This window comes from Homo sapiens, chromosome 17, assembly GCF_000001405.40.
Source record: "Homo sapiens chromosome 17, GRCh38.p14 Primary Assembly".
NCBI lineage: Eukaryota > Metazoa > Chordata > Mammalia > Primates > Hominidae > Homo > Homo sapiens.
Genome location: NC_000017.11, coordinates 68,859,107 through 68,871,538, shown reverse-complemented (window position 1 = coordinate 68,871,538; position 12,432 = coordinate 68,859,107). Strand labels below are relative to the sequence as shown.

At 36.3% G+C, this 12,432-nt stretch overlaps 1 protein-coding gene and 1 long non-coding RNA gene across 7 annotated transcripts in view; one reads left to right on the top strand and one right to left on the bottom strand.

Moving 5' to 3' along the window:
• The window catches only part of ABCA8 (ATP binding cassette subfamily A member 8), an 88,104-nt gene extending 83,854 nt beyond the window's left edge, over nt 1-4,250 (top strand). For all 6 annotated transcript variants that reach the window (NM_001375771.1, NM_001375772.1, NM_007168.4 and 3 more), the window contains 3 exons: nt 1,760-1,839; nt 3,183-3,238; nt 3,356-4,250. In NM_001375771.1, the coding sequence (NP_001362700.1) occupies nt 1,760-1,839; nt 3,183-3,238; nt 3,356-3,454 (235 nt within the window). In that variant the 3' untranslated portion in view covers nt 3,455-4,250. The remainder of the gene's footprint in view (nt 1-1,759; nt 1,840-3,182; nt 3,239-3,355) is intronic.
• The window catches only part of LOC105371874 (uncharacterized), a 56,293-nt gene that overhangs the window by 7,629 nt on the left and 36,232 nt on the right, over nt 1-12,432 (bottom strand). The window contains exon 2 of the long non-coding RNA XR_001752986.3: nt 1,743-1,867. This is a non-coding gene — a long non-coding RNA (uncharacterized LOC105371874). The remainder of the gene's footprint in view (nt 1-1,742; nt 1,868-12,432) is intronic.

The window sequence follows — 12,432 nt, the reverse complement described above, 5'->3', positions numbered from 1 at the left end:
TGCAAATGAACATGTATATGAAAAACTGTTAAATGTCATTAGTCATCAGGGAAATGCAAATCAAAACCACAATAAGATATCACCTCACATCTGTTAGGATGGTGCTATCGTTTGAGTGTCCCCTCCAAAACTCATGTCGGAATTTAATTACCATTTTGATGGTATTAAAAGGTAGGACCAGGTGGGACCTTTAAGAGATTATTAGGTCATGAAAGCTCTGCCCTCATGAGTGGATTAATCTATTCAAGGATTGATAGGTTATCTCGGGAGTAAGTTAGTTATCTTGGGAGTGGGTCTGTTATAAAAGCCAGTTTGGCTCTCTCTTGAGTGCCCCTCCCACCCTATAATGCCATCTGCCAAGTTATGACACAGCAAGAAAACCCTCACCAGATGTATCCCCTCAATCTGTAACTTCCCAGCCTCCAGAATAATAAGAAATAAATTATTTTTATTATAAATTGCCCAGTCTGTGGTATAGTGTCATAGCAACAAAAAACTGGACTAAGATGGATGGCTATTCCCCCCAAAAAAATAACTGTTGCTAAGGAGGTGGAGAAATTGGAATGCTTGCACACTTTTGGTAGAAATGCAAAATGGTGCAGCCACTATGGAAAGCAATATGGTAGATTCTCAAAATATCAAAAATAGAACTATCTTACGTCCTAGCAATTGCATTTCTGGGTATGTATCCAAAAGAACTGAAATCAGGATCTCAAAGAGATACCTGCACCCACATTTTCATTGCAGCACTATTCTTAATAGCCAAGATGTGTAAACAGTCTAAGTGTTCACTGAGAGATAAATGGATGAAGTAAATGTGTTAGGTACATGTAATGAAATACTATCTGACCTTGAAAAGAAATTCTGCAACATGTGACAGCACAGATGAACCTTGAGGACTTTATGCTGAGTGAACTAAATCAGTCACATAAAGACAAACTCTGCATGATTCTACTTATAAGATATCTAAAATAGTCAAATTCATAGAATCAAATAGTACTAGGCTGGGGAGAGAAGAATATGAGAAGTTACTCATCATAGATGTAAAATTTTAGTTAAGCAAGATGAATAAGCTTTAGAGATCTTCTGTACCTCATTATACTCTCTTTTGTCCCACTGAACCTGCAGCCGGAATCACCCCAAACACAGTGGCAGGGGAGTTTCCACAAGAGAGTTCCCCAAACTGTCCCAAGATGGGGCCGGTTGGGATTCCAAAAAGAGAACTAAGTCCACAGTGATCAGTCCAAATCATTTATCAGGGCAACTTCCTTACAGAGTGGGCTGCAGCAATTTTCGAGATGAACAGTGAGAGAAAAGGGGTGTTCTACCTAGGCATGTCTACAGTGAGGGGTCAGGTTATGGAGTTTTTATGAAGGTTTAAGGAATTTGGCACAGGGTCAGGGTTAGTTGTTTTGGACAACAATCTGAATAGCTTTATCTGTTCCTGGGAATGTTCAAGGCCCTAGCTTGGGTTCAAACCAGCTGGGAAAGACCTTCTGTTGGCCAGATGACAGAGCAGTCAAGACCCTCTGATTTTTGGTCAGAACACAGAAAAATGTGAAGGAAACTGGGGGACCCTACATACTCATAGTCAACAGTACTGGATTGTTCACTTCGAAATTTGTTAACAGGGTAGATCTCATGTTAAATGTTCCTAACACCATTTTTTAAAAGAAAAAAAAAGACCAGAGAGATGATTGCCATCAGTTCACATCTGGCACAAGTGGTATCACTCTTCTTACCTCTCCTTTTCTCTCAGGTACTCCTCTCTGATGGTTTATAAGTTGCCAGTGGAAGATGTGCAACCTTTAGCCCAAGCTTTCTTCAAATTAGAGAAGGGTAAGAAGTATGACTTTGAAGTACGACCCTGGAAAGAAGATAATTTCAAATCATAAAATAATCACCTTTATGACAAAAATGAAATGTGACAAAATGCATTACATTTTAAAGTTACAGTCTCAAATTGAATTTTAGGAAGACCCAAACCAAGGAGATAGAGGGATTCTCTGTGTCTGTGCCAGGGGATAATGAGAGTGATTTTTTTCACTTTTGCTTTGTGGGGTTTTGTCATGTATTTTTGCATGTATGTTGGTAAAACCTAAGTCAAAACTCAGTTATATATGCATTTAAGAAAACTTTCTTTTGAAACATCTATGCATACATATTTAAAATTAAATTTTTCCGTGGACTGGCATATTATTTTACTGTCTTAGCCTGTATATTAAGAAACTGACTCCTGTCTGGTCATTGAAACAATCTCCTCGCATCTGTCACATTTTAGAACTAACTTCCCTGCATCTGTCATCACAGGTTCATGTTTTCCTTGCAATTTTAGCTCATTAACTCTGCTACTCTGAACTGTGCTAGTCAGAACTCTCTCGCTATACTGTTTTCATTGTCACTGCTCAGTGATATATCTTTGCTTGCTTATCCTCTGCCCTAAGGAAGAGATTCAGATCTTCTAGTTCTAGAGGAATTGTCTAACTTGCTAGAGCATCAGGAATTGTCTGATTCTCTCCTTGAGAGCATCTGTGGTCACAGTAATGCATCTTCTTTTCATTCTCTGATGTATGTGAGCTCTCCAACTTTCTGGGCCACGTAGTCATTCACAGCACTCTCCAGGTTGGCATTAAGCCCAGTACTGACCTGAAACTTTTGGTGGCATATTTCCAATCTGCTGAGCTCCTATTAGAGCTCTAACCGCCTCTCCCAGTCTATTTTGGTCAAAAGAACAGTTCCTAACCCAATCAGAGGAAGCTGCAATGGTTTTTGGATAGAGGTCCGTGAAGATACCTGCTCTCTAAAAAGGCTCACAAATCCTTCTCCATAATCTTCTGATACAAGCCTTTTCAAAATATGTCTGCCTTCCACCTGTTTCTGTGTTGAATGTGCAAAACCCACTGGCCCACAGGCAAGAAAGAAAGCTTACTCAGTAGCATTTTCTCCTTTAAATACAGTTCGCAAAAACTGCACAACATACAAGCATAATTCAAGCGCTTTTTCTCCCAAACCTAAGTAAATGCATTGGTGTATTCTTAACTGAACGATGTACTTAAGACATGAATGAATATTACCTTAACCTATTTAAGATTTTTAAAAAATATATCATTTGTACTATATGCTGATTTATGAGACCTCTAGATATGAAATATATGAACTAATACATGTTCATCCCTATGCAGTTAAACAGAGCTTTGACCTAGAGGAGTACAGCCTCTCACAGTCTACCCTGGAGCAGGTGGGTCATTTTTAGGGATTCGTATCATCCATGGTATATGTGTATAAAACATTCCCTGGGAGCTGCAGAGGCAGCACGGCATTGTTCTCCTCTCTTTATTTCCTTCCTCCCTTTCAGGTTTTCCTGGAGCTCTCCAAGGAGCAGGAGCTGGGTGATTTTGAGGAGGATTTTGATCCCTCAGTGAAGTGGAAGCTCCTCCCCCAGGAAGAGCCTTAAAACCCCAAATTCTGTGTTCCTGTTTAAACCCGTGGTTTTTTTTAAATACATTTATTTTTATAGCAGCAATGTTCTATTTTTAGAAACTATATTATAAGTACAGAAATGGTTCTCCGTGTGGTGGGAGGAGGAGGTTCGGGTGCTGGGTAAGTGCCATGTCAGTGTGGACAGAGGCATTTGACTAAGCCAACCTCCTCTCACAGCCTCTGTATCTCTGCAGGCCATACTGGTTCCATTGTTCTGTATAATACTGAATAAATAAATTTACTTTTACATGATCGTATAAGTTTCTAGATAAGATAAACAAATTTTGTTTAAATTTTTTTAATAAAAATCTTAAAACACTTTTTTTCTAACCTAGACTGAGAAATTCATGTTTACTTTTCTAGGTGTATGATACTTTGTAAAGTTGATACTTTCCTAAGAATTTAACATGTCATATTTTTGAAATAGATTTAAGTGTGCTTCTTATTGCTAAAAATACTAAATGTCATGGGTCATAGTATCTGATATCAATATCGTTGATAACATATCCACAGGTAACACCATGATGTAGGCATAAATGGAAAACAAAAACCCTACTATTTCAAATATATTGTACTTTTTTATTTCTGTAAGCCAACTGTGTGCCATTTTCACTGGACTTTTAAATCTAGACTTTAGTGATGTCTACATTGTAAATGATCTTTTGTGGATATTTGTCACTTGGTTTCAGAAAGTTCACAAATGTAGCAACAGCTCACATGACTGAGTAGGTAGAAAATGTGAAATAAATCTCATATATATAGTTTTGAAATACGTTTTCTATTTCATGTGTCTTTTTCTTAACTCGGTGGCTTCCTGCTTACAAATTTCATTAAAAATATTTTCTAATATAAGCATAATTACTGGACTTTAAGACCATCAAAATAGGATTTTCTGCTAAACTAATATTTAGGCCAATGTTTGTGATATTAGCCTAATTATTACTCTTGTTTACCAAGTATAATAATGAAACACCAACTCCACATACTTCCTGGTACTGCACTCCTTCATGTTTACAACCATAAAACCAGACAGTTAACATAGAAAAGAATACTCATATTTCTATTTGCTTGGGCTTAAGTTTGCCTATCTAATTCAACTTTTGTGTTATACAGAAATATGCTGGGATTTGGAATCCCATGAAATATGTCTTATTTTTTAGATATGCATTTGGAGTAAATCCTACAACCTTGTCAAGCCTTAGTGTACTCCATTGCTGCTAGTTGGGGTGGATTTCACAGGAATTAAACCCTTCTCATTTTTAGATATGCAAATCTGTGTTCAAAGAGGATGAGTAACTTAACCAAGATCACTAACTGGTAATTAGCCCATCCAGCATTCAACAACATCTGATACCAAAGCCCATGTTTTTCCCACTACCTCAAGCTGACTCAAGCACTTATTGATAACTTAATTCAGAAGGCGGTGGACATAGAAAGCCCGGAAGCTTCTTGATGTGCTTACAATTTAATCAGAAGTGAAATTACACATACTTAGTAGAAAGCAAAAAGATAACGATAATCAAATGTTACATGGCATGCTGTCAACAAAGGTACTGTCTACAAAAATCAAGAAGATCCATTTTGAACTAAGGCTATCTAATGAAGATGTTTATGAGTGAAAAGGAATTTAACCTTCATTTTAAAGAAAACTTTGAATTCATAAGGGGAAAAAAGAACAACAACATTCTAAGCCAGAAAAACTGAAGAGCATCAATATACAGGGTACTTCACCATTGATAGTTAGGATTGCTTACTCTAGCCGTATTACTAAGCTAAACAAGAAGACATGGTTTTTATGTTAGTGGAGTTTTCATCCAGACTATGAGAAAATGTTGAAATTAATATTAAAATTGCATGTATTTCTTGAGCAAAGAAGTTTATTCCTTTGTTGAGTCATTCCTGGAAAAGGTACATAATTAAATACTTAATGTAACAACAATATATTTTGGCTAACAGTCTCTCTCAAATAAGTGAGTGACTCTGGAGATCCTTGGACCAAAAAAAAAACTTTATCTGTGCTTTGCGTGCTGCCCCTCATGTATAGATTCAAATTGCTCTCTTGAACGCACATGAAAAACCGATGATCACTTTTATTCTCCATAGTCTTCATAATATTGGTTCTCAAAATATAGTTCATGTGCCAATATCATCACCATATGTGGGAACCTGCTAAAAATGCAAAATCCAGAGGTTCACACAGAATTACTGAATTAGTAACTCTGGAGATGGGACCCAGCAATCTGTATTTATCAAGCCCTCCAGGTAATGCTGATGCATGCTAAATTTGAGAACCACTAGATTATAGCCCATGGCTCCTTTTGTGAATATCAAGTAAAAATGCAATACTCTATAGTCAATACGACCTTCTTAAAATTGTTAAGAATAAGAATGACTATTCTTATTGATGGCAAAGTACATTGAGAGAAGGTTAAGAGTAATGGATACCATTCAGGACATAGGCATGGGCAAAGACTTCATGTCTAAAACACCAAAAGCAATGGCAACAAAAGACAAAATTGACAAATGGGATCTCATTACACTAAAGAGCTTCTGTACAGCAAAAGAAACTACCATCAGAGTGAACAGTCAACCTACAAAATGGGAGAAAATTTTTGCAACCTACTCATCTGACAAAGGGCTAATATCCAGACTCTACAATGAACTCAAACAAATTTACAAGGAAAAAACAACCCCATCAAAAAGTGGGCGAAGGACATGAACAGACACTTGTCAAAAGAAGACATTTATGCAGCCAAAAAACACATGAAAAAATGCTCACCATCACTGGCCATCAGAGAAATGCAAATCAAAACCATAATGAGATACCATCTCACACCAGTTAGAATGGCAATCATTAAAAAGTCAGGAAACAACAGGTGCTGGAGAGGATGTGGAGAAATAGGAACACTTTTACACTGTTGGTGGGACTGTAAACTAGTTCAACCATTGTGGAAGTCAGTGTGGCGATTCCTCAGGGATCTAGAACTAGAAATACCATTTGACCCAGCCATCCCTTTACTGGGTATATACCCAAAGGAGTATAAATCATGCTGCTATAAAGACACATGCACACGTATGTTTATTGCAGCACTATTCACAATAGCAAAGACTTGGAACCAACCCAAATGTCCAACAATGATAGACTGGATTAAGAAAATGTGGCACATGTACACCATGGAATACTATGCAGCCATAAAAAATGATGAGTTCATGTCCTTTGTAGGGACATGGATGAAATTGGAAATCATCATTCTCAGTAAACTATTGCAAGAACAAAAAACCAAACACCACATATTCCCACTCATAGGTGGGAATTGAACAATGAGATCACATGGACACAGGAAGGGGAACATCACACTCTGGGGACTGTTGTGGGGTGGGGGGAGGGGGGAGGGATAGCACTGGGAGATATACCTAATGCTAGATGATGAGTTAGTGGGTGCAGCACACCAGCATGGCACATGTATACATAAGTAACTAACCTGCACAATGTGCACATGTACCCTAAAACTTAAAGTATAATAAAAGAAAAAAAAAATAAGTACCCCACCCCCCCAAAAAAAGAGTAATGGCTACTCAGTATCATTAAAAATATCTATAAAGCAATTATTGAAAATGGAAGCTATGTATGTATGCATTATTGGTAAATAAAAGGTGATGATATTTTTGTGGAAATAAATTGTACCCATTTATTCCTTCCATTTTTAACATTCAGAAGAGTTCATCATTGGGTTTTAGAGGATGAGTATTTTTATTACAGTGTAATTTATATACAATAAAAGTCAGCAATTTTAAATGTATAATTTGATGAGTTTTGACAAACACACTGATATATATTTTTTGACAAATATATGCATTTGACAAATATATGCATTTGTCAAAACTCATCAAATTGTGTGTGTGTGTGTGTATATATATAGGATTTATATATATATCATCCAATGCCTCAATTGTGGTATACAACTTTGCCATTTGCAACAAAAGTTCTCTCACACCCTTTGCTGACAATTCCGTCCTCTCACCATTGTTTGCATTATTTAATTTGTATGTAAACAGATCTCACTAGGCATCTCAGAGTGCAAATACTGGGTGTTAACTATGCGTATCTATATAGATGTGCTTTTTAAAATGTGTGTTCCGCTGCTGTTGTTTTAGTGTTCTGTAAATGTCAATTGGGATAAAGTCATTGACTGTCATTTAGACTTTCTATATCTCTTTTTAGATCTGATTATTCTGTCAGCTACTTAGAGTGTGTGTTAAAGTCTCCATCCACGTTTGTGGATTTATCTGCTTATCCTTATTTTTCTTCATAGATTTTGTCTCACATATTTTCACAATGTTATTAGGCAAATATACATTTAAAATTGTTATATCTTCCTAATGCACAGACCCTTTTATCATTTGTAGTGTCCCTCCTTATACTGAAGTCTATTTTTAATATTAACATAGTTCCTGCAGCTTTCTCCTGGCTATCTTGTTCATGGTATATCTTTTTCCATGTGTTTACCTTTAGTCTATTTGTGTCTTTGTAGTTCAAATGTATCTCTTGTACACAGCATATACTTAGTTCTTGCCTTTATATCAAGTATGAGTCTTTATCTTCTGATCGGAATGTTAAGTTCATTTACATTTAATGTAGTTATTCATAGGATTGTATCATTTAATATTTGTGTCTCTTTTTTCAGATATTGTAGTTATTACTATTGCCTTGTTTTTTCCTATCTTGCCTTTTACTGGCATTCAATTTTAATTTTTCTATTGGCTTTCTAGCAGCTTCTCTTCACATACATTTTAGTGGCTGCTCTGGGAATTACAACACATATTAAATTTATACTAATCTATATAGAGTTGATACTGACTTTCTTCTTGCATAATAAAGAACCTCTGTGATAGTATATTTCAATTTATTCCCATCCTTGCACCACATTTTGTTACATATCTCAACTATGTACATTATAAAAACCATCAATATAATGTAATGTTTTGCTTTAAAAAGCCATATTATATCAACAAAATTAAGGAAACAAAGAAAATACGCATCATTTATTTTATTTGCATATATTTTTACAATGCCTGGTGTTCTTTGTTTCTCCCTAAAGAACTGAAATGCCATCTAGTCTCATTTACCTTCAGATGAAATCATGTCCTTTAAGTTTTTGTTTTGTTTTATAGCAGGTCTATTGGCAATAAATTATTATTTCAGTTTCCATTTATCTGAAAATGTAATTTTTTCCAATTTCACATTTGAATAGTAGGTAGGCTGGATATCAAGTATCTGATTCACAGTTTCTTTATTTTCTTTCAGCACTTTGAATATGTTATCCCAGAGTCATAAATACTTCTTATATACTGATAAGATTTATACCTATTTCAAAAGAGCTAAACTTTTACTGGCTTAAATTCTAATATCACTATCTTGAATAGTATGGATATCATATGGACAGTGAATCTTAAAATACCATACGTGTGTGTGTGTGTGTTTGTGTGTGTGTGGTGTGTGTTAAACTAGCATTTAACACTGGTGTGTATTTGAATCTGTCAAATTTTGAAATTTGCATTGACTATTCTTTTTAAAAATAAGACCACAGTTTCTACTGTATCTTGAGGTTATTTAGGACCAATAATAGTAAAATTATGTCATTGCCATATACCTTCTCTAAGAGGTACAACCAAGTGGATTCTCTCTTAAGCCTGAAGTTCATAAAGTTTCCATTAGCCCATTTTGCTTCCAAGCATTTATTAAACACTTTTTGGAGAACTCAATATGAGTTGGATATAGTTCTGCTTTTTGAAATGCTTGTAATCAAATTAGGAAGAGAAAATATAAACACTTGGGAAGATTAAAGAATATTTATAAGTACACAATTAGAGCTAGTTTGCTGCTTTAATCAATCTTCTACCAAAATGTAAACAAAGAAAACACCACATCATGATTAAGGCAGTAAAAAGTGGTGGAAAGCAGAAACACTTCTTAGAACAATCCTCTAAAAGTACAAGATACATGATTATCTACATGTGTAAAACATAATTAAGCAAGATTTTCTGAGTCAGGGAGATGATGGTCTGAGCTTTCTCTGCCAGTTTTGTGCACACCTTTCCTTCTGGGAAACAATAGATGACTAAAATTCACTCTCTTCCTGCAGTGAATGCTGCTGAATGGCACAGTGATTAAGATCTTGACCTAAATTTAATCTGGGATCTGCCATTTATCATCTACACAGACTTTGTTTCATTACCCGGAAAATGGAAATATCAGTACCCACTTCAGAGGGTGACCATAGCAACCAAAAATGACAAAAGCAATACCAGCACCAAGCAGCTGCCTGGCTGTTCCCAGAACTCCAAGTTCTCTCACATCCTGGATGGTTCCCTTCCTGCTCCTATTCCCTCAATTCTTCAGTGACACATCAAAATGTACCTGTTTTTTCTTTCTTTTTTTTTTTTTACTTCATTTCCCAAGGGCCAACTGAGATGTCTGCAAATAATGCACTAAACAAATTTATTTCAATGGAAGAATTCATGCTGTCATCCAAAGAAACAGTACAAACTAGCTCAATCTTTGTTATCTGAAGGTACTTGGGAGGTCAGTGGGAGAGATATCCCGGGGCAGGCAGAGTTTCAGCACCAAAAAGGATTTTTATTCAGCCTATGGATCCAACTAGCATTGATACCACAGACACCCACATTTTTGGGAAAATGAGACTGACAACTGTGTCAAATGAGCTTATGTTTTGTACCTGCTCTTTTGCAAGGAAAACCCTGCCCAACTCTTCACGTGGCTTTATGTGAGCCCAAGATCTGGTGCTGTTGTCACCTGATATATCTGCAAAGGAAATCCATTATTACAAACCTAGAACCACACAGAGCATGGTGAACTGTAAAAAGTTGATGACTGACTGGCAGATATTTACATTTCAGAGGCCAGTGAGAAAACTGGAACTGAAAACATTATATTACTCCCAACATGTCATAACTAGTTATATTTATAGGCCACAAAAGGCAGGAAACATATTGCTGCGTGAAAGGTAATTCCTTTTGCTTCTTATGGCCAATCTTATACTATCCTTCTTTTCTTCTCATAGTCTATAAAATTATTTTAACTTCTCTTTGTTTTCTTTTTACTCTGTGTAGACACTATACCAAATTGTATTTGAAAGATACGTTCAATTAAAATTAATTTATTGGCATGGAAGAAACAATTCTGATGCCTAATGAACCAACTCTTCACTTTTCTTTTTTCTTTTCTTTTTTTTTTTTTGAGATGGAGTTTCGCTCTTGTTGCCCAGGCTGGAGTGCAATGGCGCGATCTCAGCTCACCGCAACTTCCGACTCCTGCCTCAGCCTCCCGAGTAGCTGGGATTACAGGCATGCGCCACCACACCCAGCTAATTTTTTTGTATTTTTAGTAGAGACAGGGTTTCTCCATGTTGGTCAGGCTGGTCTGGAACTGCCGACCTCAGGTGATCTGCCCGCCTCGGCCTCCCAAAGTCCTGGATTACAAGCATGAGCCACTGTGCCCGGCCAACTCTTCACTTTTCAGCCAGGTAAACTAGGGTCAAGGAAATATGGTTTCTGTCTCTCTGTCCTGGGCTCCTGCCTATTCCAGTTTCTGTGCTTTAAATTGCTTTTCTGCTTTCTTACCTCTCCTTCTCTCTAGGCCTGTGCAAATTTCAAATTTCAACGAAGTCTTTTAAAGACTTTATTGAATTAAAACTATAGGGGAGGATTTTTCCTGCAATTAAAAAAATATGTACAATCGTCTAAGATCCCAGAGAGGCCAAGAAATACATTGAACAAGAGATGCTAAAGAGAACAGGGAAGATATGCAGTGTCTTTAAGTGGTCGGAACTGAGTGTCTCAAGAGACATCCTTTTTCTCCTTCAATAAGGAGACCATTACCAGCTGTGAAAGGATTGAGGGAAGAAATTAAACCATCACCACCACAGAGTAGAGGGCAAATAGCAAGATTTTGAAAGATGAGAGGCTTAATGTTCTTTTTATAAATTCCAGAATGTCCTTACTCTTTTTTTTTGATAATTTAAAATTTGTGTCCTGATCCTTCCCCTCACAACTAAGAAAAATATAGATGAGACCTACAGGAAGACCTCGAAGATATTGTAGGTTTCATTCCAGATGACCGCAATAAAGTTAATATCAAAATAAAGCAAGTCACACAATTTCTTTGGTTCCCAGTGCATATGAAAGTTATGTTCACACTCTAGTTTACTGAGTGTGCAATAGCATTATGTGCAAAAAAATGCACATATCCTAATGAAAAAGTACTTTATTGCTAAAAAGAAAACGCTAACGATCATCTGATCCTTTAGCAAATCATAATCTTTTTGCTGGTAGAAGGTCTTGCCTCAATATTTATGGCTATGACTGATCAGGGTGACGATTGCTGAAGATTGGGGAGCTGTTGCAATTTCTTAAAATAAGACAACAACGAAATTTGCTGCATCAATTGACTCTTCCTTTCACAGAAGATTCCTCTGTCTCATACAATAATGTTTGATAGCATTTTACCCACAGTAGAATTTCTTTCAAAATTGGACTCAATCATCTCCAACCCTGCTGCTGTTTCATCAATTACATTTATATAATATTCTAAATCTTTGTGTCCCTTCAACTACATTCACAGTATCCTCATCAGGAGTAAATTCCTCTTGAAGAATCCACTTCTTCATCATCTATAAGAAGCAATTCCTTGTCCATTCAAGCTTTATCATGAGATTGCAGCAATTCAGTCACATCTTCAGGCTTCACTTCTAATTCTAGTTCTCTTGCTATTTTCACCACATCTGCAGTAACTTCCTCCACCAAAGTCTTGGACTGCCTCAAAGTCATCCATGACAGTTGGAATCAACTTCTTCTAAGCTCCTGATAATGTTGATATTTTGATCTCCTTCCATGAATCACAAATATTATTAATGTAATTAGTAAATGTAATTA